General features: G+C 34.0%; 1 protein-coding gene and 1 long non-coding RNA gene across 5 annotated transcripts in view, besides 2 other annotated features; one reads left to right on the top strand and one right to left on the bottom strand.

Annotated features, from left to right (window-relative positions):
- FSTL5 (follistatin like 5) overlaps positions 1-27,610 on the top strand; it is a 780,104-nt gene that overhangs the window by 114,924 nt on the left and 637,570 nt on the right. For 2 of the 4 annotated variants that reach the window (NM_001128428.3, NM_001128427.3), the window contains exon 3: positions 15,422-15,452. In NM_001128428.3, coding sequence (NP_001121900.1) covers positions 15,422-15,452 — 31 coding nt within the window. Of the gene's footprint in view, positions 1-15,418; positions 15,453-27,610 lie in introns of all 4 variants that reach the window. The other 2 variants (XM_011532126.1, NM_020116.5) reach the window with 1 other exon arrangement.
- FSTL5-AS1 (FSTL5 antisense RNA 1) lies at positions 1,527-26,344 on the bottom strand. The gene is made up of 6 exons (NR_125888.1): positions 26,168-26,344; positions 16,324-16,499; positions 13,678-13,867; positions 6,986-7,223; positions 5,766-5,894; positions 1,527-1,704 (listed from the first exon to the last, which is right to left on the bottom strand). It is a non-coding gene; the product is annotated as an FSTL5 antisense RNA 1 (long non-coding RNA).
- Positions 14,340-14,509: an enhancer, noted in NCBI's record as "experimental_75545 CRE fragment used in MPRA reporter constructs". NCBI's record gives its function as "activates a minimal promoter by MPRAs in K562 erythroleukemia cells, with activity observed for the introgressed 4:162955805 variant allele {active_cell/tissue: K562}" and the evidence as "EXISTENCE:reporter gene assay evidence [ECO:0000049][PMID:34662402]".
- Positions 20,535-20,704: an enhancer, noted in NCBI's record as "experimental_75539 CRE fragment used in MPRA reporter constructs". NCBI's record gives its function as "activates a minimal promoter by MPRAs in K562 erythroleukemia cells, with activity observed for both the introgressed and non-introgressed 4:162949610 variant alleles {active_cell/tissue: K562}" and the evidence as "EXISTENCE:reporter gene assay evidence [ECO:0000049][PMID:34662402]".

Below are 27,610 nucleotides of genomic sequence, written 5' to 3'. Positions count from 1 at the left end.
ACTCATATATATATATTCCCCAGAGATATAAATTTGTAGCTTTTCAAGGAATTACCATATGATCCAAATATACCACTTCAAGAGTTTTAGCATTATGCCAACATCTCAGTTCCAAAACTTCAAGTTGCACTGTCTTAAGACCCTTTGTCTACCCTCACCTTATAGGATATACTGAGTGAAAAATGTCTACAGTTTCAGCATCAGCTGACTGTTTCAGTTTTCAGCTACCTCTTTTAATTTGGAACCCCATAACTCCAAGAGGATATCTTCTTCAGAATATCTAATTTATAATATTACCATAAGCCAACAGCTCCAACACATTCCATCATTTATTATTATTTCTTATTGACATCTATGCATCCATTTTCTTGATGACTTTATTCTACTTGAAATCAACAAAAGCTCTGGAATAATAATATACTTATAAATTCAATCACATTTGTCTCATTCGTGTGTGTGTGTGTGTGTGTGTGTGTGTATGTGTATAATGGTATTAAATGTACATGTGCAGTAAGTCAACATTTTCCCAAAGAGGAAGAAAATAATACTGATAGTAGTGAAGGTCTTATATGACTGATTTACCACCATAATTATATCTTTGTTTATAACATGTTCTTGAGTGTTACCAATTTAAATTATTCTAAGGTTTTCTTTTTTCTAAATCTTGCATGTTTTAGTCCTGAGAGCAGATTGTATGTTTTTCAAGGGAATAGGTGTTTTTTTGTTTGTTTGTTTCTGTTTTTGATACTGAGTCTTGCTTTGTCGCCCAGGCTGGAGTCTAGAGTGCAGTGACACCATCGCCGCTCACTGCAACCTCCGCCTCCCAGGTTCAAGCAATTCTCCTGCCTCAGCCTCCCCAGTAGCTGAGAATACAAGCACGTGCCACCACACCCAGCTAATTTTTGTATTTTTAGTAGAGATGGGTTTTCACCATGTTGTCCAGACTGGTCTCCATCTCCTGACCCCAAGTGATAGTCCTGCTTCAGCCTCCTAAACTGCTGGGATTACAGGCGTGACCCGCCACACCTGGCTGGGAATAGGCTTTAACATGAACAATTGTAAACATAATGCTCCAGGCTCACTCAACTTTTGGTTAAAATTAGGCTGATTTATATGATAACCTTTACTATGTACCTGCCAAAACAGGAATGAAAATCCTGTCAAATATTCTTTTACTTATTTTAAGGACATACTATATGGCGAACTCATAGTTTTTTGTTGTTGTTGTTTGCTTTTGTTGTTTTTGTTTTTGAGATGGAGTTTCTCTCTTGTTGCCCGGGCTGGAGTGCAGTGGTGCGATCTCAGCTCACTGCAACCTCCGCCTCCCAGGTTCAAGCAATTCTCCTGCCTCAGCCTCCGAAAAAGCTGGGATTACAGGCCCCTGCTACCACGCTAATTTTTGTGTTTTTAGTAGAGATGGGGCTTCACCATGTTGGCCAGACTGGTTCCAAACTCCTGACCTCAGGTGATCCACCCACCTCAGGCTCCCAAAGTGTTGGGATTACAGGCATGAGCCACCGCACCTCGCGGAACTCATAGTTTTTTTAATGGAAATTTGACTCGTGTTTGGCTCTACTCACATGAACTCACACTTGCTTAGAAATGCTGCTCTGCATGGCACAACCGTCATCCCCTGGAGAGCTCCATGAACCCTCCAGTTGTGAGGGTGAAAGCAGGGAAAACTAGACCATGATTTTTGGGCACCTTAAAAGAGATAATAGGTAAAGAACTTAAAAATTGCATGCTACATAGTAAGAATGATATGTGTTTTCATCTTATCATTATTATTTTTATCATTTCCCAACTAATAAAACTAGTCTCAACACTATTTTCATAGATCTACAACCAATTCTCTGTCTCCCAGGGTGAGCACAGGTTGTGTGTCTGTACTGAGACTCCATGCTATTGACCTACTTTCTGTTTATCTCCTTATGAAGAAGCTTAGTTGCCTGTGCCCAGAGTGTCTTGTGTTAGTTTGGGCTTACCTGGGGGTATCTGGAAATAAGTCTTTGTATTTTCTATATCATAGAGTATAGTTATTTTTGTGCAAAGCATATTTTCAATAATATATCTTATTTATTTGTTGTCTGTCTAAAATTTATATTACTAGATAAGGCATACTCTACTCTCAGTCACTGGGAATTCACAAACCAAATAATTAGATTCCTATGACAACTCTTACTTATGGGCTGTTTGCAGACTTAATAAATTAGAAACCCAAATCTATTAAGGGATAAACATATTATAGAAGGAATTCTTACATATGTGTACATGTCTACATTTTAAATCATACAAATTCACTAGTTTTCATAACCAAATCATTAATTCATTATTTATATTTCCATTAATTACAAATCTTTTCATTAGTGATTTATGTTTTTAAAAATCATCATTATTTATCACTCTAAAAATACACTGAAAATACTGTTATAATAATTGGCATGTTTATTTAATTTATGTGGCTCTTTACCAAATAGCTTCAGCTATAATATTTAGCCAGGCATAAATTTTCTCCTGGAACCAGGAGAAAACTTTCTTGAATGTATTTTTATATAATCTTCATGTCCAAAGAAGTATGCAGTTGGTTATGCTTAACTGTCCACAGTTTCTCCCAAAAGATTAAAGAGTTTACAACTCTGTGCCTTTGTGCAGCTTAATGCTCTTTTCCCCGAGTAAATTACTTTGCCATCCTTTAATTCTTAGCTCAAGTAACAGTTTCGCTTGGAGACTCTCCCTTTACCCCATAACTCAGCAAATGCAGCTGCTCCTCACATCCTTGTTTCCACATCACCCTATAAATTCTTTAACATTGTGTTGTAAGTAATAGCTATTTGTCTTTCCAGATAGAATATGAACTTCAGAGGTCAGACATCTACGTTATTTATAGTTAACCCCTATTTAATAGCACAGTGCTAGACATGTACGTTCCAAATAAAAAAACCCGTGTTCCAATAGTGAGTGGTTATTTAGTGTGTCAATAGCCTACTAAAATGGCAAGATGATAATAAGAAACTTAATGTGTTCCAATGATATTTAAAATTTCTGCAGACAAAAATGAGATAGACAGGATATCTAAAAGTGAGTTAGTTAGAATGTGTCTCATATATATGAAAAATGCTGTCTTCCTCATTATCCTCTTAAAAAACTCGTAAAATATTGTAAAATTAAATAGGTACACCCTTTAAATGTTTCCAAGTTAATTCTTTCACTAGGGAATGTTGCCTAAGAATACTAACAAACATTGTCCAGTCATTTAAAAAATTATTTATTTTATTTCCATTTCAGTTAATAACTGGAAAAGTGGCCTATTAGCAACAAGCATACCTCTTTATACTGTACCTTATCTGATTGCACTTTGCAGATACTGCATTTTTTATAAATGGAAGGTTCGTGGTAGCCCGGTGTTAAGCAAGTCTGTCGGTGTCATTTTTTAAAAATAGCATGTGCTTATTTTATATCACTGTGTCACATTTTGATAATTCCCATAATATTTTGAACTTTTTCATTATTATTATATCTGTTCTAGTGATCTGTGATAAGTGATCTCTTTAAAAATTTTTAATTATTACAGGTACATAATATTTGTATATATTTATGGGGTACATGTGGTATTTTGATAGAAGCATGAAATTGTGATGATCAAATCAGGAAGAGAGCTTGATGTTACAATTATTACTGTTTTGGAGCACCATGAACTGAACTGCACCTTTATGATATATTGAAATTAATCTGTAAATGTGTGTGTTGTGACTGCTCTGCCAGACCGGCTGTTACCATATCTGTCTCCCTCTCATCAGGCCTCCCTATTCCCTGAGATGCAATAATACTGAAATTAGGCCAATTAATAACCATACAATGGCCTCTAAGTGTTCAAGTGAAAGGAAGAATTGTATGTCTCTCACTTTAAATCAAAAGCTAGAAATGATTAAGCTTACTGAGAAAGTTATAACAAAAGCCGAGACAGGCTGAAAGCTAAGCCTCTTGCACCAAATATTTAGCCAAGTTGTGAGTACAAAGGAAACGTTCTCGAAGAAAATTAAAAGTGCTACTTTAGTGAATGTATGAATAATGAGAAAGTGAAGCAGCTTTATTTCTGATATGAAGAAAGTTTCAATGGCCTGGCTAAAAAATCAAAACAAGCACAACCTCCCCCCAAGCCAAAGCATAATTTGGAGCAAAATTCTCACTCTTTTCAATTCTGTGAAGGTTGAGAGAGGTGAGAAAGCTGCAGAAGAAAAGTTGGAAGCTGTCAGATGTTGGTTCACATGGCTTAAGGAAAGAAGCTGTCTCTATAATATAAGAGTGCAAGGCGAAGCACCAAGTGCTGATGCAGAAATTGCAGAAAGTTATTAAGAAAACCTAAGATAATTAATGAAGGTGGCTACACTGAACAAGAGATTTTTCAATTGGACGAAACAACCTCCTATGAAAACAAATATGCCATTCACCACTTTCTTAGCGAGAAAGAAGTCAATGTCTGACTTCAAACCTTGAAAGGACAGGTTCACTCTCTTGTTAGGGGCTAATGCTGCTGGGGAAGCAGCATTTAAGTTGAAACAAATGCTCATTTACCATTCTGAAAACCCTGAGGTCCTTAAGAATTATGCTAAATCACTCTGTGCTCTATAAACGAAAGAAGAAAGCCTGTATGATAGCACACCTGTTTACCGCATGGTTTACTGAATATTTTAAGCTCATTATTGAACGATTGCTCAGAAAAAAGATTCCTTTTAAAATATTACTCCTCTTTCACAATGTACCTGGTCATCCCTTAAGCACTGATATAGATTTACAAGGATACTGATGTGCTTTCATGCCTGCTAACAAAACATTCATTCTGTAGCACATGAAGCAAGGAATAATTTTGACATTCAATTCTTATTATTTTAGAAATATATTTTGTAAAACTTTAGCTGTCATAGACAGTGATTCCTCTGATGGATCTGGATCTGGGCAAAGTAAATTAAAAACCTTCTGGAAAGGATTCACCATTCCAGATCTCATTAAGAACATTCATGATTCATGGAAGGAGGTCAAAATGTCAACTTTAACAGGAGTTTTGGAGAAGGTGATTCCAGCATCATAGATTACTTCCCATGATTCCACCCTTCAGTGAAGGAAGTAACTGCAGATGTTGTGGAAATAGCAAAAGAACTAGAATTAGAAGTGAAGCTGAAAATGTGACTAAATTGCCACAATCTTACAGTAAAATTTGAATAGATAAAGAGTTGCTTCTTATGAATGAGCAAAGAAAGTGGTTTCTTGAAATGGAATCTACTCCTTGTGAAGATGCTGTCAACGTTGTTGAAATGACAACAAAGGGTTTAGAATATTACATAAACGTAGTTGATAAAGCAGTGGCAGGCTTTGAGAGAATTGACTAATTTTGAAAGAAGTCCTACTCTAGATGAAATCCATGAAATGCATTACATGCTACAGAGAAATCTTTCATGAAAGAAAGAATTAATCAATGCAGCAAACTTCATTTTTTTTTTATTTTAAGAAATTGCCACATCCACCCTAACCTTCAACAACCACCACTCTGATCAGTTGACAGCTATCAACACTGAAGCAAGACCTTCCAACAGCAAAAACTTGTGACTCACTGAAGGCTGATATGATCATTAGCATTTTTTAGCAATAAAGTACTTTTGATTAAAGTATGCACATTGATTTTTACACATAATGCTCCTACACACTTAATAGACTATAGTATAGTGTAAACATAACATGCACTGGGAAACTGCAAAATTCAGGTGACTCACTTTGTTGCAATATTGACTTCATGGCAGTGGTCTGGAACTGATCCTGCAATATTTTGAGGTATGGTTGTATATTAATTTTAGATCTTCCCCATAGTTCGTGTCAAAGCTTAGTAGTACAAAACAATAATGCTGTAAGAAGGATGTACATAACTTTTAAAATCTTATATCACACATTAAAGAACATTTTCTTTTTTGTTGTTTGTTTTGTTTTTTTTATTATACTTTAAGTTTTAGGGTACATGTGCACATTGTGCAGGTTAGTTACATATGTATACATGTGCCATGCTGGTGCGCTGCACCCACTAACTCGTCATCTAGCATTAGGTATATCTCCCAATGCTATCCCTCCCCCCTCCCCCCACCCCACAACAGTCACCAGAGTGTAATATTCCCCTTCCTGTGTCCATGTGATCTCATTGTTCAATTCCCACCTATGAGTGAGAATATGCGGTGTTTGGTTTTTTGTTCTTGTGATAGTTTACTGAGAATGATGATTTCCAGTTTCATCCATGTCCTTACAAAGGATATGAACTCATCATTTTGTATGGCTGCATTTTCTTTTCCATAGTATTTTTCAAATCCTCAAATTAATATACATTGAGAAATAAATGTTTCTAATTTATTATGGAGAGGAGTGCCTATATGTGTGGGTACCATGGATAGGTTTTTTAAAAGTATATTATATAATTTCCCTTTTCACTATTTCAATTATCTGTTATGCTTAATATGAGACTTTGTGTTATTTTCTAACATATCTCACTACCTGATCCATCCCTTATCCATGCTATCTTTTCTGCCCTAAATGACCGTAATTCCTTAACCCAGTCTGTTACACAGCTTCTCACTGTGTAAAAGTCAGTGTGTCTATGTCTTTCATGAGTCCATGAACCAAAGATGTCCATTTTGACACTGGGAAAATTCTTAAAGACTCTATTTGACACTGCATGTTTTGATTGAGTTTATATGTCATATTCATTGGATTTGAACATACATGATCTTGGTGAAAACAAGCAAACAACAACAACAACAAACTTTCTGATGTTTCCAACTACTTCTAAACCATTAGTAATATTTCCCATAATGGGAAATATATTTTCCCATTATTTTCAATTTAGACACACATGAATTTGCTTCATATAACATTTTTTTTTTCTTTTTTTTGAGATGAAGTTTTGCTCTTATTGCCCAGGCTGGAATGCAATGGCGTGATCTCGGCTCACCAAAACTGCCGTGTCCTGGGTTCAAGTGATTCTCCTGGCTCAGCCTCGTGAGTAGCTGGGATTACAGGGATGCGCCACCACACCAGGCTAATTTTGTATTTTTAGTTGAGATGGGGTTTCTCCATGTTGGTCAGGCTGGTCTCAAATTCCTGACTTCAGGTGATGCGTCCTCCTCAGCCTCCCAAAGTGCTGGGATTACAGGCATGAGCCACCGTGCCAGGCCTGCTTCATATAACTTCTAAATGTAATATGTAACATCAGAATATGTATGCAATAAAATAAAAATACAACTTTTTAAAATTCTGGTGGTAAATTCTGTCCTAGTTTGATTTTTTTTTTGTCAAGTGCATGTCATTGATATCTTGTTTATGGTCTTTATAATTTGGGGCAATACTGAGAATATCTCAACCCAATCACAAGTTCTCTCTAGATTTTCTTACTGAAAATTACATAAACACAGCAAATACAATATGAATATACAATAAGAAGCAACTACAATTTTAGCATTGGAATGAATAACTTCACATCAAAATATTAAACTGAAGGAGAAGTTGGTTGACTGTTGACTGACACTCTATAACTTTTCCAGATTGTGTTATATATATATATATTCATTAGGCTACTAATAAATCTAATGACATTTCTTACCAACATAAGAAAATTACTTTCATTTCTCCATGAATCATTGAAACATACTACTTGCCCAACCTTATTTAGTAACTTAACCATTCCAACTCTGCACTACTGCAACAACACTATTTGCTGTTTTGCAGTCTTATCATGCACTCTTTTGAATCTATAACTTTGTCTATGCTATGTCCTCTAGACAGAATGTGCTTTTACACTTTGCTATGGAGATAAACTCCTTTTTTTTTTTTTTTTTTTTTTTACCATCTCATCTTTCTCTATAAATTCTTCAGTTCCCACCTTCTCACAGCTCACCTTCAGCTGCCCAAGTTAAGAAAGCCTGCATTCCTCTCTGGACTGTACTATCTAGATTTGATACATAATTCCACTATTGAATATCACATTTTATGGCATATATCTGTGTGTGTCTCTGCCTATCCCTCCACCTGACTATTGAATTCTGGAGTTCAAAGACTCTGTTGGAAAAGTGTCCACTCTTGCAGGGGCTAAGACATTAAGGATATGTCAGTTGAGACTGCAGAATAGTTTTCTTCATGGAAGATACAATCCAGTGGGAGGAACAGACAATGGACAAGCATATATTATTCTTAGAAGTAGTGACTTTTGTGAAAAATGAAAAAAAAAGATAAATAATAATGGGGGTGCTGATTTAGATAGAATGTTCAGCGAAGGCCTTGTTGAGGAGGTAAGACTGGATCAGGGATATGACTCAAATTCTAAGAAAAAGAATTTTAAATAAAAGGTGATAAGATTTTGATTAAACAAAGTAGAACTGAAAATTTAGCTTTATAGTTTACTGATAATATATGTATGACTCCAAGTTTGAGTACACTTGATATAGTGGATTCTGAGTGACCATATCTCTATTTTTCAGGCATTTTTTTCTATGCCCACTGTCTCCCCTCTATTTTTGAGGCATTTTTATAATTTAATTGCCACCGCCAAAATAGTTGTTTTTGATAAAGTGTGTGCACGTGTGTGTGAACCTATATGTGTGTGTATGTATGTGGCTTTGGGGAGGGAAGCTCACATGTTCATGAGTATTCATGTGTCAGAATAACACAGAATAAATTTGTTGTGGGATTATTGGAGACTGGATCTACTGAGACATTCTCCTATTCTCAAGTTCCATGAATTTCCAATCCATATTACTTAGTGGGTCTAACAATATCTTTTAAAACACCTCAGTATTTTATACTTCTCCCTTATAGCACATGAGAACAAATTTGTGATGAATGTGAGTATTCTGCTGCAAATTATCACTTTTAAAACCATTTTTAATTGGTAGCATTTGTCTGGGAAGTAATAATTACAATCAGAGAGAAGGGAAGAGTTCTGAGAATGAAATTCAACTAGTCAGCCTGCTAAAATTAGTAAGGTTTACCTCTATGTATATTTCCCACAAAATTTATATTTTTATAAACTTTATTTTTATCCATTGACTATTTTCAGTGTTAGGATCTATTGACTATTATTCATAAGTTTAAAATCACCTACTCACAACTAAGCACTGAAGTATATATACATAAGGACACTTTGGTGAATTATATCATCAGTTTACTGTAGGAAGACCTATGGATAATATGGATTGATAGAAATATTACTTTAGCTAGAACATATCACTTTTGACTACTGCAGAATTTATTTCTATCTTTTGCTAATTTGTAAATTTTATGTTTATTGATTTATTTTGGGCTTTATTCGATATACCAGTGAAAGTCTTCTACACATTTGAGTTTTCTCAAATCCCATGAGAGAAATGAACTTATTTTCAGCATTTAGCCAAGCTAAACACAGCTTGAATGTGCTTTATTGTACATATTAGTCAAAGAAAAATCACAAGTAGTGCGTTTTTTTCTCCTGGACTTTATAGTTTCTCAACTTATGCCACCTATTCAACTAAAGGAAATGCTGTGTTTGCATAACAGGAAATTTCTTAAAAAGAAAATAACTTTCCAGTATTGCTGCAATGAGATAGAAGAAATTTTCACAGGGATTTTCCTTTTAATTTTGACTTGTTTTTAAAAATAGTCATGTTAATTCTGTTAATTATCTAGAATAACATCGTCTTACTATATGTTTTTTATTAGTGACCAAATGCAAACAAGTCACATGGGGATCAGGAAAAACAACAGCAAACTAGATTTTTTTTTCCTGATTACTCCCATACTAAAAGGGGAAAGAACCTTGCCTTATATCTACTTGATATCTTCTACTTCTTTTTTTATATAAGCAAGTTATTTTTATGTATAGTGAAAAGTACTATGTATAGTCTCTCAGAGTCAGAGAGCATCAGTTTAACTCTTTAGGAGACCAACTCAATTCTGTCTGCATGTGCTTCACTCTTATGTCTCTCCATGTGAAAGGAAGTCTGTATTAGTCTTGGTATTGATCAGAGAGCACATGACTAGTCTCATTCGTGTAACATCATATGTATATATATTATAAAAGAGTATTTGTGGGTATTATCTGTGTGGACTTTATGGCTCTCCCTTAAAATAGTTTAAGCTTATAGTATGAAAAGGGAGGACAATTCATTGATAGTCTAATGTTTACTACCTCAATGCTGTTATGGTGGAGATGATGCACTTAGCATTTAGCATTTAGATGATTTCTTCACTTTCCAGAGAGCATTTGCTTCTCAGTGAGAAGGAAGGAAATAGGTAAATTATGTTTGAAGATATTGTAGCCAGAAATTTTTAGTGTTTCTTCAGGAGAAATCCGTTTTCACGTTATAACATAGCCATCATCAAATGTTAATAATCATTATGTCATAAATCCAGATACTGGAAAAGAAATATCCTTAATATCTCCTAGTGTGGTCACATTCAGCCCAGTTAAAAGACTAGCAACATGGTACTTTGGTGTTATTTGCTAAACTCCAGTTTGTTTAGATGCTTCAGAACCACTTACAGCTCATTTGTACAACTACTGTGTATCCCAATTTGACTGAATTTTACATTGGTTTAGTTACGTTACATTTACTTTATTTCTGTTTAAAAATATTTAAGATACCATATTGTTGACTCTTGTATTTATTATAAAACCGTACTTCTTCCCAGATTGTCTTTGCTAATCTTTATCATACTGTCTGCTAAAGCTTTTAGCCATCTTACATTACTGGACTGGATTTCATGAAGTATGCTGATGTAATTAATATACAGCACTTTGGAATTCTTCCAAGAAATAGCATAGTACAATGTAAAACACGAATAGTTTGCTATTATTTAGCTTTGACACATAACCAAATATATTTCTTATTTTAAGTCAAGTTCACTTTATTAGAAAATCTTTTGAAAGAATGTTAAAATTAAGTTATACCTAGAAATATAAACATTCTGCTATTATGGACAAGACCTAAGTCTTCCTAATGTAAGAATGTTTTTCAAATGAATCGTGTGGACAGAACAACAAAAGTTTCTGGTCACTCGTGAGTTCTCACATAGTTAAATAATCACAATTTTCTTTATAATGTTTTCTCATTTAAAGTAAATATTTTGAACATGAAGTTATAGTTTGTAAAATACAATTGTGGCAAATCTGTATTGCCATTGTGAATAATGTAACATTAAAGTAATAGAAGCAAATTGGAACAGTTATTATTTGCAAATCCTAAATAAGTCTCCAGTGAAAGGGGTTTATACAACTTTGACAGTAATGCGGGAGTTTACCCTTAAGTTTTCTTCTCACTTTGCAAATCTATTGTCATTCTTTCCAGTCCACTAATTAATTACTAGTTTCCCTTCTCCAAATTCATGCTTCTTAAATATTTCTTGTTTATAGAATATTTAGACAGATTTGCATTGGTAATTTATAATTATATAAAACTGTATGGGAGAGAACTTGATTTTAGAAAACAAATACAGTGAAATATAATATCAATAAAAAGCCTACTCAACTATAGGTAAACTAAGCCTAAGATTGTTACAAATTTATGACGACAAAACTCAACTAGGATTGGCTCAATCATACCAAGCTGTATGTGTGATTCTTCTCACCTACTCTCGCAAAAAGCCATGCACTTAAAATCTTCTCCATCTTCTCAAATTTCAGACAAAACACTCAGCTTCCACAATTAGCCAACCACCTTTCCTTCTATTACATAAAGAAAATAAATCAAGATTGAATATGTTTAATTCGTCATATCAAACCTAGAAACCTCCTGCATCTATGACTAAGCCTTCCTGTTCCCACCTGTTCTATTACAGAGACTGGTCTTCTTTCTATCTAAATTTTGCCCCCAATTATATTCTATCACACCCACCCTTTCAATAACCATATACAATCAGTCATGCTGTCTCTTCTTTTTATCCTAATCCTCTCAATTTCTACCAGGTATATTCCATCATTTATGTATTCTCAAATCTCAGTGATATAAATAATAATGTAATATTACAAAACTAAACAAAATAAAGCAAAAGGCCAATAAACAACAAACATAATATCTATGGACTTTAGTTTCCAGCTACACTCCATAACAGGCTTTTTATTCCTAGTCATATTTCCATCATGTAATTTTTCCCACTTTGTACAAATTTCAATCACCCTCTTCTCCTTCCTTAGATAACTTGAACTGGACATTTAATCCCATATGAGCACCAAAAAACGTTTTATCTAAAGTCAATGATTCTATCTATGTCAATATATTGAATGGGCATTTTCTTAGACATAATTGTACTTCACCTCTCAGAATAATTCTGTACTATTGAAAATTTCCTTCCAAATAATATGTTCCTTGGGATTTCATAATTCCTTGATCTCTTGATTTTTCTCCTGTAATTTTTTTATGCTTCCATCCTCTTTTGTTGGTTAATTCAACTTTATATTTTTCTTATACATTTTGCAATACTCAGTTATAGATCAGTGAGTTCTACTCTATGTTCTAATTTATAGAGTGATAATTTATGCATATGCTAGTGGCTTCCAACTTTATGTATCTGGTTGAAATACGTCCTGTGAGTTTTATCTACCTACTTTGAATCCTTGGAATTATAGTCAAAGTAATTTCAAAGTCAACATGTTTAAAAATCATACTAATGAAAATTTGAGGTTTATTATCTCTCAAGAGACAGAGTAACACAGGGTGACACTAAGGATATGCACGACTAGAAGAATGGAGTTACCTACAACTAAGATGAAAAAGATGGTCAAGAAAGTAAGGGAAGGTCAGAAATTCAGTTTGAAACATTACAGATAGGCCATGTTATTAGAAATCCAAGTACGGATGTCAAAAGACAGTTGAATAAGTGAGTCTGAAGTTCAATGGTGAGGTTGGTTTAGATATGTAAATCCTTAGCAATAGAACGAGACTTAAGGCTAAGAGATTAGACGAGATTGCTAAAAGAATGAGCTATATGGAAGAAAGATAAGACCTCAATGCCTAGGACACTAGTGCTTAGGAAAAGAGGAAGCAGTAAAGGAGACTCAATAGGGTTAGCCAGGGAACTAGAAGAAAATCTCAGAGAGTGTGGCAGTGCTGCAAGACAGGTGAAGAAGGAATAAGTACATATCTCTATCCTTATAGCAGCTCAGACCCTTGGAGTCATCTTTGTTGGCTCTCTCACAGCAAAACTTTAATGTATCAGCAAACCTTGCTCTAAGTAGGTATTCCAAATACACTGCTACCACATTGTTCTATGTTTTTGTCACAGCCCACCTGAATTACTGCAATACCTTCTTTAATGGCCTCCCTGACTTTGCCCTTGCCCTTTCAACCTATTCTTAATAGACAGCCAAAATGATTCTATTTAAAAGTAATTCAGATAATATTACCCCCTGAGAAGAAATGTATATGTATTCTCAGCTATGTCAGAGTAAAAACCAAAGTCCTACCAAATGCCCCAAGTGCTAGTCTGTCTGGCTCCTATTACTGCCCAGATTGTATTTCCTATTAAATTTCCTTCCTTTGATCCAGTCCACACACAGTGATCTCCTTAATATTTTTGACAATGCTAAGAACTCTTGTATGTAACTCAGGACAATTTGAAATTTTTTTCTCCCCTAGGACATGTTTTTTCACATATATATGCTTGGATCATGCTCACCTCATTCAGAATTTTATTCAAAAATCAATTTATCCCTGTGGCTACATGTATAATTTCAGTCACTCCACTCCAACACTGTCACCTTCTGTAGCATATCTTTTCTGAATAAAATTTATGCAGTCTGCTCCATGAGGACACAATTTTTTTCTGTTTTGTTCATCCTGTATAGTCTCATCAACGGGAATAGTGTCTGGCACATAAAAAAGTGATCCATACATATTTGGTGAAATAATGAATGAATAAAAGACTGACTGACTGAATGAATGAATGAATGTTAATAGAGGAGAGGGAGGGAGAGAGAGATTCTCATTAACAAATGTCCTTTCGGAAAACTTAACCCTACTAGTTATAGAATTATGAAAAACTAATGTATTTTTAATACAAGTAATGTACATTTAAATTTTAGTTTAAGTGACCAACAGATACTCTAAATTAAACAATTAATAAAGAGCAGAACAGAATTCAAACACAGAGGTTGGGTGAGTTTAGATGAGAGAAATAGAACACCAAGTTTTAAAGTCTAACAGAATTATATCACTAAGTTAGCTGATTCAATAAATACACATTTGTCATTATGCATTTTATTCTCAAATTCTAAATTGTGGATTAATTTTTGCAGCAAAATCAGTTCTTTATATTTTCCTACTCTTTTGCCAAAATATATTGGCATTCATACAGTTCTGCAGTTCAGTTTATATGTCATTGTCATTTTTTTCTTAGGAACATATTTCGAAGTTATTTTCAGTGTGAGACCCTGAAACTTTTAGACGGAGTAAACTGTGCTTGCATATTAATTGAGAAGTTAGTGCACAATATTCACTTTAAAACTTGAAAGCAAGCTAATTCTTTTGGGGTTGCCCGGTAACTAATAAGGAGAATGTCAAACTGAAAGACAAGTCTGACTGGAGCAGCCTTTGAATAAATCATAGAATTGTTGTCAACTTTAGCCTTAAAGAATTGAGATGGGGTCCAATTCTAAGTTAAACTAAAGCAAAGACAGTTGAAAAGTCTTTTGTGTTTTCTTAGTAAAATTCTCCCCGATGTTTGTGCCTAAACTTATTCCTTCACCAACAATTTATGATTAATGTAGAGCCATTGAAAGCAAATTCTGAAGGCATTATTTAATATCTGTTAGAATTAAATGGAATGGCCTAAGGCATTTGAGAGGCATGATTATTTATTATTCATTAACCATTTGTTTATTTATTTATGAATCCATATTCATACAATTTAGTGATTTCTTAGAGAATTATATGCCCACCAAGAGTTATTACTACTCCAATAAAATACTTTATATAAGGCAGGGATGGGGACTCACTCCTCTAATCTTAGCATTTTGAGAGGCTGAGGCAGGAGGATTCCTTGAGCCCAGGAGTTCAAGACCAACCTGGGCAAAATAAGGAAGCCTCGTCTCTACAAAAAATAAAAAAGATATTAGCCTGGCATAATGATATGTGCCTGTAGTTCCAGCTACTTGAGAGGCTGAGGTGGGAGGATCACTTGAGTCTGCGAGGTTGAGGCTGCAGTGAACCATGTTCATGCCATTGCACTCCAGCCTGGGCAACAGGGCAAAATGCTCTCTCAAAAAAAAATTATATGTAAATATTTTTTAAAGGCGAGAATCATGTTCCTGGGAATATGTACAAAAATCATTTTGATACTTCTATAGTGAAACTTTATATGAAACAGTTGATCACATATTTACTTACATATTTTGACCTATTTTCTGTTTTATTTCCAGCAGGAAAAAAATCAAGAAAGTTCAAGAGTCAAAGGTAAGAAATGATTGCTTTAAGATAACAATTATATAAGTTCATAACAGAAAGAAAAAAGATATGTGATGCTACTTTGAATAAAAAGTCAAAAATGAGAAAATAATGATAATTAAAAATATTCAGTGTGATTTTACAGCCATTTTGAGCCCTATGAGGATTCCCCAGGGCCAAAGGGTATTCTCTGTTGATGTTTTCCATCTTCATACTGTGCTCTTGAAAACGTCAACTTTTTTGTTGTTATTGTTTTTTCCCTATATTGTGGTGGTTGAACTCCTCCACCAACCATTGTCCCTACGAGTTGGTGTTGTGTCACTTCTATGTATTGGCAAATGGACTTCCTCAAAATGTGTCTCATGGAGACCCAACTATTTAGTCACTGCCATCTAGTTAATTTTCTACAAAAAGGCTAGAACATATTTATGCATTAAAAGTTGGCAATAGCTCCTAGTATGGCATAGTCCACATTATTCTAATGTTGGAAGACTCTTTTCTCTATAGTCACATTCTTAAATTTTGAAGTTTACTCATTGAGATAATAAATTACTCTATGTAGATTGTCATCCTTCAGTAAATGACTTCCATTAACTTGTGCTTCTGCTGATTATAATGATGGCATATCACAACCTTTTCTTAGGTTGATCCCTCTGGCATCTCCATTCACTTGTTGGCTCTTCTTAGTCTACATTTTGGGCTTCCTTGCTCACCTTTCCCTTCCCAAAGGCATCCCGGCCCCAAGCCTGTCTATGAAGTGAAGCACAATTGTCCAGTTTTTTTCCCTCCTTTTTGAATAGAAAGATATATATCCTGTTTTTACCTTTTTCAGTGTTCTACAAAAATTAAAAAATAAATATGAAGTAGTTTAATAACTTACATGGTCTTCTGAAATGCTGAAAGGGTAGTTACACTTCAGAGGCTCTCTAGATTGTTGATACAATCTTGCTTATTTATAACAAGTCCAAATAGAATCCTCTCTGCACATTTCCCCACAACTGAATGACTTTTACAATATATTATTTTCCATGTTGGGTCATCTGTGTGTCTATATTGCTGAAGAATAAAAAACACATGCATTTGCGTTTTTAAATAATTTTGCTAGATATATTTTGTTCAAATGAATTATGTAAGACTGTTCTTCCAGGGATTCCCAAACTATTTCTGTGCATTTTCAGCAAACTGAAGTATCGCTTGTTATTTTATATGCGAAATTATTACACTTATTTATACTCAAAGCACTCATATTAACTCCAAGTTTTATACTATTGTGTTGAAAAGGGGAATTTTTACTTCAAGATGTGCTGTATGATGTGCATTTGAATGATATATGCATTTAAACTTACTGAGTATGCATCTTCCTTCTCATGAAGGGTTCCAGGGTTTCAGGTTTATCTTAAATCATATTTGTATTCTGTTATAGTAAAAATACAATAACTTATTTTACTTATAGTAAAAATAAGTGTAGTGTAGCTTTCTACTTGATACTTTATTGCCTTGGGGTATATAAATCATGTCATCTGAAGTAGTAGAAATTATGTTTTTCCAACTACTATCTAGGAATATGTTTTCTTTTATAATGCAATAACAATTTCAAGATGATGCTTGTCACTCCTTTCACTATTATTAGCTAGCACATGGTTCAGAACTTTCACACACATTGTGGCTTTTAGACTTCTAACTTTTTTCTTTTTTTGACATGGAGTCTCGCTCTGTTGCCCAGGCTGGAGTGCAATGGTGCTATCTCGTCTCACTGCAACCTCTGCCTCCTGGGTTCAAGCGATTCTCCTGCTTCAACCTCCCAAGTAGCTGGGATTACAGGCACCTGCCACCACGACCAGCTAATGTTTTTGTATTTTTAGTAGAGACAGACTTTCACTGTCTTGGCCAGGACGGTCTCGATCTCTTGACCTCATAATCCTCCCTCCTCGGCCTCCTAAAGTGCTGGGATTACAGGCTTGAGCCACCGCGCCCGGCCCTAGACTCCTGGCTTTTAAGTAAATCAGAGATACATGTTTACATGAGGACTTGTTGCTTATCTCTACTTAGAAAAGCACTACATTTTTCTTGACTATTTATGGGAATCATATTGAAATGTTATTTTACTAGAAATTAGGAATGACCTCTTTAAAATGTTTTCAGATGTTAATATTAAAAGATTAAAAACCCATTTTCAACCATGAAAGCTATAGCTTACTCATTGGCAAATGACAAAAATTCTGAAAATCAAATATTTTATATTCATTGATTACTAATTATTGAAATGTGAGCTATGTCCTCATTTGATATTAGTAATCAGTTATCAGCTAGTAATTCTTTGAAGTTCCTGGCTATTTGTTAACTTCATTTATTCAAACACATTTATTACATTGTCAGGAGTATGTCTAGAAGTCTTATTTTCTGCATTCTGTGCCTATTTCTGCTAATGACAGCAACCCCAATGTAATGATACCAGTGCCCTGAACTTTTATTAACACATAAAACATTTGTTAAAGATAACCTTCCATAAAATTGCACTGAAGATTATAATAGAAAAATGAGATAGTCCTACAGATTTGAAAGTAAGGGTCAACTACCAGGTAGCCATATTTAGTAAAGTGTTCTTCAGTAACACAACAGATAAAACATGTTAAAATATTGTACATTAAGTGCTTAAAATGCATTGAGAATTTTGTAACTATTATTAGACAATGTTTTCCTTTGAGGAACATACCTAGAATAAGAAACACAATTAGTTCACCCCTAATATTTTTTACAGAAGTATTTAAATTTATGATTTCTTTATTCACTTATATTTGAGAGCATCTCTCTAGAGTTCTCAGAGAAAACAGTAGTAGAGTTTGAGATTTCAGTAATTATTGGTTTACAAATAACTTACAGAGTCTGCCAACTTAATAAAGTTTTTAATTTTTGAAATAATTTAAAAGATTTATGACAACCATAATGATAATATCCTTTGTGGAAAGTGCCTGTGCTCTTGCACTCTTGCATGCTCCTCAGTATCAGCCTTACCCTTCTCCGTAAATAAAAGGATGTTGGACTGTCCATCCACCGAAAAAGTTCAGTTGCTTTTATTGCAAAATTTTCTCCTCCTGTTTTTTCAAGTGGACACTCTTGCCTTTATGCATTCAGAAGTGATAAAAATAAAGTATGTTTTTTTCATTTCCAGTTATATTTTGGTTAAGACTCTGCAATTAAGAGACACTGACCTCTAAAGTTATTTCCCTAATGACCACTTCCATATAATGTATTTTAATACTTATATTTTCATAAGTATCTATTAGATTTCAGACATTGTATTGAGTTTTCTACATATATCATCTCATTTTAATCTTCAAATACATATTATTAAATAAGACTTAGCTTTCATACATGCCAGCATTTTGAGAAATCATATCCAAAGTATATAATTCAGACCAGGCATGGTGGCTCACACTTGTAATCTCAGCACTTTGGGAGACCAAGGTGGTTGGATCACTTGAGGTCAGGAGTTCAAGACCAGAAGACCAGCCTGGCCAACATGGTGAAAACCAATCTCTAGTAAAAAAATAAATAAATAAATAAAAAATTAGCCAGGCGTGGTAGCGCATGCCTGTAATCAGGAGGCTAACACAGGAGAATAGCTTGAAGCCAGAAGGAGTTTGCAATGAGCTGAGATCATGCCCCTGCACTCCAGCCTGGGTGACAGAACAAGACTCTGTCTCTTAAAAAAAAAAAAAAAAAAAAAGGAAATAATTTAGATCAATATTGCCATTTTTGTTCTTTCCTAAAATAGATCATGTTTTATTTAACAAATTACCAACTGTACATTAGGTACATTTAGCATACTGTTATTAGTGATACTTTTTATCATAAATTTTATAGATATGAATTTTATTATTTATGTGTTAGTTTCCTTTAATCTTGTGGTTACAAATATTGACTCTCTTGCAAATTTACATAATTACTGTTCAGTGCTTCATAACTTTAAGAAAAAAAATCGATGATGATAAACACATCACAATAGTGTTCTAAGAAAGTGTCTAGGACTTTTGCCAGGTTGTTTACTAATTACTTATCTTTGAGAAGTGACTTAACCTCCCTTGATATGATTCATCTTTTTTGGTAAATATTAGCACAACATATCCATGATGTTAAAAGTCCTTTACATATAAGATATTCTAAGGCTTATAATTTTACAAGGACATTAAACACTGGTATTATTATAAACATTTATCATTCAAAACTCTATAATCCTCTATAAGCTCAATGAGACAAGTATTATGTCATATATATTGATGTACATGAAAAGGGGAAGCCACACAGTTGTTCTTCGTATAAAGCAAATATTCTTATGTATATGAAACCATAGGAAAATATTATGTTAAGACTATATCTAATCAAATTAAAAGTGTGTATTTGGGACAATAAATGTATTATGGCGCCTGCAGTCTACACACACACACGCACACACACACACACACACACTCTCTCTCTCTCTCTCTCTCCCTCATGTACATATACACTGCTTTCAGTTTATTTTTTTGCAACCATGTGTTCAGATTCTCCTTTATTTTCTTTATTTTATATTGGCACCTCAGAGCACTGAAAATCGCCTAATGTATCCGGGGACATATATTTATATCAATCAAGTCAGAGGGGTGTTGCTGTGAGAATGGAAATAGTGAACTCCAAATCTGGAATGCTTGAATATTCAGAGCTCTTTCTAGTAGATTAATCTCACAGTTTCTGAGGTTGGCTCACTACTTCAAGGTCAAGTAGCCAGTCAGAAATGGTGAATAGATAGAAATGGGCCTTCAGATTCTTAGTACTGAAAGCCATTAGCTATATTACATTGACTGATTAAAATGTCCTGTAAAACTGAAAGATGGCAATTCATGTATTTTAGCCCTATATGAGACTCTCCAAATTATTGCATGTCTTTATATTTACAAAATACAATATAGCCAGTAGCATAAGTAATACCTGAAATGGAGTTTATTACAATTTCATGAAATGCATAGTCACTATATTTTTAGTGAACTGCAATACATTCTTTATTTGTTTATTTATTTATTTAGACAGAGCCTCACTCTGTTGCCCAGGCTGGAGTGCAGTGGCAAGATCTCAGCTCACTGCAACCTCCGCCTCCTGGGTTCAAGTGATTCTCTTGCCTCAGTCTTGTGAGTAGCTGGGATTACAAATGCGTGCCAGCACCCCTGGCTAATTTTTGTATTTTTAGTAGAGTTGGGGTTTTGCCATGTTGGCCAGGATGGTCTCGAACTCCTGACCTCAGGTGATCTGCTCTCCTCACCTTCCCAAAGTGCTGGGATTACAAGCATGAGCCACCTCACCTGGCCAATACATGCATTATTATGAATTATATGTTTGTTAACTTTTAGTCCAAAAAGTTATTTTTGAAGTTAATCATTGTTTGTAAGATTTATGAAAATTAAGTATTTTTGTCTATTATACTCAATACTTATAATCCTCAAGTACCTAGAAGACGAGAAAACTTACTCCTTGAAAATATCAATCAAGAGATTCGTGATTTATTTTCTTGGTTGTTTTTATCAAGCAGTAATGCTGAATAAACATCAGACAAGTTTATTTATGGTAGATTTGTAATAATAATTCTTAAAAAATAATTAAGTGTTGTAAAAGAATGTGAGAGGACAACAAATGGTTTATACTATAATTTTTATGTCATAGCAATTGCATTCTATGAGAACAATTCTATTTTCTCGGATTTATTTTATTAAAAATCAATTTTCAAATTAAATGAGGGCAGAATGCACTCTCATGAGTATTACTTACCTCACAGCAAAATATCAGTGTCACATATGCATAACTTGATAGTAGATGATTAACTGGCAACTCTTTAATTACCAATAAGAGAATCTAAAACATTTCAAAATACTTAACTTTATACTTGACTTAACAATACAAATGCAAATTGTTGACAAATAAATCAATTAAAAATGTAATTCTCAATTATAATGAGCTCATTGAAAGATTTTCTGATTTCATTAGCTGACATCTGTTCCATTTATGATCTTTACTATTTAAAAAATATGTCATGTCTTTATGTGAGTGAGATTTATGTTTTTGTGATAATGCAAGTTTTTGAAATAAAAATAGTAAAACGTTGAGTACAAATTCTGAAAGCCATTATATATATAAGATAATAATTGGTACTTTGACAAACATTCAAAATTATAATTTCAGTTCCAATAAACAATTCTATAAAACCATGAATAATTAGCAATTGTTCAAAATTAACAATTCTATAAAACATTAACCAATTCTATAAAAGAAAATTAAGTAAATTAAGTAAATACCTCTCTAAATTGCTTTCAAGTAGTATAGATCTCAATGTAAGTAATAACTTTTTCTAGGTATAAGGGTAGTATTTATTCTCCATCCTTTAAAAAACTCATTGAAATAAGTTGTTACAATTTAAAATGATCCTGATGGATGTCCTTCTGCCACAGGAAGCAGGGAGAAGAACATCCTTCTCTATCTAATAATCCCATTTTCATCAACCAGAAGAGTTTTCAAAAAGTAACTGGTCATGTTTCTTATTTATTCTAAGAAGGGCTCAATTCATGTTATGCAAACACATAATCTTTCTCTCCCCATTTTGCATATATCCTCTAGTTTTCAAAAGGTTACCACCAATAAATTTTCTTATCCAATGGATCATTTGTCTGGGTTTCAGTGTGATTTATTTTGCAGCTCATTTTGCCCACCAGAAGGCAGTGCTATTAAAAAGATATCAACACATTAGCGATGTTGGGGGAAACAACACAGAATAAATTGATTTAGGTTTTTTTCTATTAATAATAAATAATGAATTTGTTGAAATCTGCATTGGATATAAAATGAATGGTATTCAGATGCTTAAGTAGGCTTTTATTTGCATAAATCAATATTGTCTTAACCTACACACTAACATCGCAATATTGTTCTTTCAATCACCAAAACAAGATTTCTTGATTCTAGACTTAACAGAGAGCTAAATGCTTTCTAGTGGAAGGTTTGTAAAAAAATATATATAAGCTCACGCCTATAATCCCAGCACTTTGGGAAGCCAAGGCAGGTGGATCACTTGAGGTCAGGAGTTTCCAAACAGCCTTGCCAACATGGTGAAATTCCGTCTCTACTAAAAATACAAAAATTAGCCAAGCGTGGTGGTGGGCACCTGTAATTCCAGCTACTCAGGAGGCTGAGGCAGTAGAATCGCTTGAACCCAGGAGAAGTAGGTTGCAGTGGCCGAGATCACACCACTGCACTCCAGCTTGGGGGACAAGAGGAAAACTCCGTCTCAAAAAGAAAAAAAAAAAAAAAGAAAATACATAAGCTGTCTCCTGAAATAATTGAATGTCATGTTTGAAGAAATATCAAGTAATAATAACCAAAATGTGTTTGATGGCTTCATTTCTTTAGCTTGAAGGAATAACTTCACTTACCTAGAATGGTTGGCCTTTATGAAAGAGCAGCTCTTGAAATGTTCATATGAATATTGCATTTTTTTCTTACAAAAATCCCTGTTTTATTTGCCAATAAAAATTATACATTCTATCACATTTCCGTTTTTTTTTTTGCTTTGTCTGTCCAGACACTATAAACATGAAATTTGGCTTTATAAAAGAGTATATTTGCTTGGATTTTTTAGAATATCCTTCTTACCTAAGAACTTAGCATTTAGTTAAGTGCATTTTAAGTATTTTTATGTTATTTGAAATATTTTTAGAATTATTAATGTAAAAATTTCATATAAAAAAGTTTGCAATTCTGTAAGTGGTATTATACCTATGACTTCTATGATACTAAGTAGATAGACGGATTTTTTTGTTGTTTAAATATGATACACTAGAGTTTTATCTATTATGCCAAAAAATAAATAATATCCCTTTTAAATAATTATAAGATATATTTCACAGTTGCAACTCATTACATGGGTAATAACTATTTTGAATTACTTAGACAATAAGTAATAATATCATTCTACTAAAATTTATGTCATTGTTTCTTAAATTATTGGTGCATGGAATCATTATCCACAGGACACTTGAAATGAGTGGAAATTCTGCTCAAATGTGCTCTGTGCTATTGAAAAATTTCTACATAATCCTTTATCCCAGAATTTAGACTCTGAATACTAGACTCAGTTATTTATCCCCCACTTAAGATTTCTTAATCTCCCTTTCTAACCTGTAATGTAAATATAATATGCCACAAAGTGCTGTTTGAAGTATTAAATGAAGTTAACTATAACCCTTTTGAGTAAAATGCAAAAAAATCATGTTTTAAGTACATCCATGATAGAAACATATTTATCAAAAGCCTCAATTTCATATAATGTTAAAATTAGAGTTCAAGAAGTGTTGACTTCTATGTCGAATCATTATTTTACAAAGTTATAAGTTACAATTCACATATTTTCCAAACTTGAAGTTACCTGACCTACCAATATTAAGTATCCTCTAGTTGTCCTGTCATATTTATTTTTAGACTAACACTATTCTTATCTTGTTTTTACCATGATGCATGGAGCACTGTAATGAAAAAAAAATACAGTAGACAGTACTTTGACCATAAATATATATAGAAGATATTTTCCTTATTTTGGGGGAAGTAAAGCGTTATTCTCTCAGAGTACGAATTTGACGTTATAATAATGACATATATTTAAATTTAGGACAAGTTGCAGTGGCTCGTGCTTGTAATCCCAGTGTTTTGGGAGGCTGGAGGATTGCTTCAGGTCAGGAGTTCAACACCAGCCTGAAAAGCATAGTGAGACCCTGCCTCTACAAAAAATAAAATAAAAAAAAATTAGCCTAGCATGGTGGCAGGTGTGTAGTTTAGTCCCTCTAGAGGCTGAGGTTGGAGGACCACTTGAGTTAAAGGCTGCAGTAACTATGATCATGCCACTGCATTCTAGCCTGGGTAATAGAATGTGACCCTGTCTCTAAAATAAATAAATGAATAAATAAATAAAGGAATTTATCTGACATTCTTAAAAAAAACACAAGAAACAAACTTAATTACTTAATTTAAACTATTGATTGTAGTTAACTACTGCTACATTTAGAAACAACTGCTGTGTGCCCCAAATGTTGTGGTAATGTTAGCTTGCCAGAAGAATTCAGAAAAAGAAAAGGTAATGATAAGCTCAGCTGCATCAGATAATGAAGGTTACTTAAACAAATGTGTATTAATTTAAATATTAGAAACAGTGTTAGGTGCCAGGGAAATAAAAAGTAAAGACAAAATATCTGTCAGGTCCTCTGTCAAGTGCTTTCCAAGTTCTGTGTTATTTTATATAACCCTCAGAAGAATTGTATATATTCACAAGAAGGTAAATATTGATGATCTATGTATCATGTAAAAATGACAATTGTTACCATTTTGGTATATGTGAATTCGGAATATTTTTACATATGCAAGTATATTTGCGAAAAACTTCCAGTATTGCTTTAGAAGTGTTAGTGAATATCCTTTTTTAAATAAAGTTTGCATATGCTCTGTGGTGGATTCTGTGAAATGGTTCACTTAACCATTTCAAACACCAAATGGCATGCTTTCCTTTTTATAGGCTTTTTTTACAGGGCCTAGTAAATTAAAAGCTACATTTCCCAGATCCCTTTGCAGTTAGCCTTCTAGATTTGCTTGACATTTCTCTTATCAGATTTATGCAAGCAGGGTCTTTTATGGAATGACTTACTGAAATCCCAGGCCATTTTTGTGGGATACCCATTTTCCTTTCACAGATAATGGCAAAGGCAGTGTGGCTCTGAAGCCAGAGGCCAGAAGGTAGGGGAAAAGTCTTCCCCTATGGTTAATTCTGATAATGCAGGGGCAGCAAATCCTTTGATGTCCCAGTTCTATGATGGACCTTTAAAAGCTATTTCTAACAGCTCACTACACAAACCTTTTCTTCAATCCTATCAGCTATTTTCTACATCCCTTAATAAATCTCTTTTACTTAAATAGTGCAGATTCTATAGTCTGGCACAAAGATCTTTGATCAATGTGTCAGTTCATTCTAGAACTAAGAGCAACTAGGGATTGGGTATGGAAATGTAAAGTACCAAGGTATGATCAGAGATTGATAATACTTTGTTCTTTTGGTAAGATTCTGGGAAGCAAATTCATCTGCAAGACTGATGCAGACAGTGACAACCAGGAGGTACAAGATGTTAAGCCCAAAGGGTAGAGAAAACATGTGTGTGGTTTAGGCACATATAAAAACCAGACGGTGCAATCTAGCTTGCAAACATAATTCTAAGAAGTTTTTAACTTAGATGTAGTAATGCTTCATACAGTCACTTATTCAGACTTAAGTGTTGAACATCAACTATATGCCATTGTTTTCAGCACTGGAGATACACTACTGAACAAAATTAAAAAATCGTTTCTTCCTGAGTCTTAGATTGCAGGTCCTAGGAAATCTTACCATACCACACGATAGTCCCTGTTTTCCGGAAAGTAACGAAAATCACCTAAAAAGATCAGGTAGCTTTTCTTGTAAATCCTGAGACCATGAGAGGTCTCTTTTAAAAAAATTGTACAAATGTATGGGGATACACGTGTAGTTTCGTTACAGGCACAGATTTCATAGTGGTCAAGTTGGGGCTTTTAGGGGGTACCCATCACTCAAATAATGTAAATTGTGCCCATTAACTAATTTCTCATCATCCTCCTCCTCCCATCTTCTAACCCTTTTGAGTGTTCATTACCTGTCAATCATTCCATTCTCTACATCCATGTGTACACATTTTTTAGTCCCTACTTAGGAGTGAGAATATGTGATATTTGACTTTCTTTGCTTGGCTTGTTTCATTTAAGATATGACCTCCAGTTCCATCCACCTCTTAATCTTGTGCCTAAAACTCTTTCCAGGGGTTTAGAATCCTGGGGATTAAGTCATAATTGTCATGATGTAATTTGCATGAATTCATAAAGGGAAAGGGCTCTGTGTCACCTGTTGGCCCTATTTGGGGTTCATAAACATTTTATTCTCTCAGGGATATGAAGCAGCAATGACTTTAATAGGATGACTTAGAACACAAAGGAGTCTAACTTATGGTTTACCCTAGAAGGTACCATTACGTTTTATTTTTTTCTTTATATGGCAATCTTTCTAATTTGCCATACAAATTGCTATCCTTTCATGGACAGCGTAGAACATTATTATCTATTATAATTTTTAATAAATTGTGTTTTAAGTTTCTTTAAAACTCTTGGTATGGAGGATATATGTAAATTATATACAGTGTTAATATACAATATTAATATATGAAATGCAATATTATAGATTGTATGACATATCATGTTTAATATATTATGTAAGTAATATATAATTAATGCAATTGTAATATGAAGCTATAGATGTGGTTTTTTAATTACTTGTTTAAATGTAAAATGTAGAAATGCTGTTTTGTTACATGAATATATTGCATAGTGGTGAAATCTAGGCTTTTGGTGTAGCCATTACCCAAATAGTCCAAATAGTCTACATTGTACCCATTAAGTAACTTTTTTTTTTTTTTTTCCCTGAGACAGAGTCTTGCTCTGTCACCCAGGCTGGAGTGCACTGGTGCAATCTCGGCCCACTGCAATCTCTGCCTCCCAGGTTCCAACAATTCTCCTGCCTCAGCTTCCCAAATAGCTGGGATTACAGGCACCCGCCACCACACCTACCTAATTTTTGTATTTTTTAGGAGAAACGGGTTTCACCATATTGGCCAGGCTGGTCTTGAACTTATGACCTCGTGATCCACCCGCCTCGGCCTCCCAAAGTGCTGGGATTACAGGTGTGAGCCATCGTGCCCAGCCATAACTTCTTATCTCTTACCCAGCAAACTCCTACCTTTCAAAATCTCCAATGTCTATTATTTCACACTCTATGTCCATTATTTAGCTCCCACTTTAAGTGAGAACATGCTGCATTTGACTTTCTGTTTCTAAGTTGTTTCCCTTAAGATAATGACCTCCAATTCCATCCATGTTGCTGTAGAAGACATGATTTCATTCTTTCATACTAAGGCTGGGTAGTATTCTATTGGTTATGATTTATTTGTGTGTGTATTTGTGTTTTTGTTGTGTGTGTTATAAAGGATTTAAAGGAGAGCTAATATTTATAAATCTCTTACCATGTTTCATAAACCTATTGTTTATTT

The sequence above is a fragment of the Homo sapiens genome, chromosome 4 (assembly GCF_000001405.40).
Source record: "Homo sapiens chromosome 4, GRCh38.p14 Primary Assembly".
Lineage (NCBI taxonomy): Eukaryota > Metazoa > Chordata > Mammalia > Primates > Hominidae > Homo > Homo sapiens.
The sequence above is the reverse complement of the archived record's forward strand: the minus strand, read 5'-3'. Positions and strand labels throughout refer to the sequence as shown.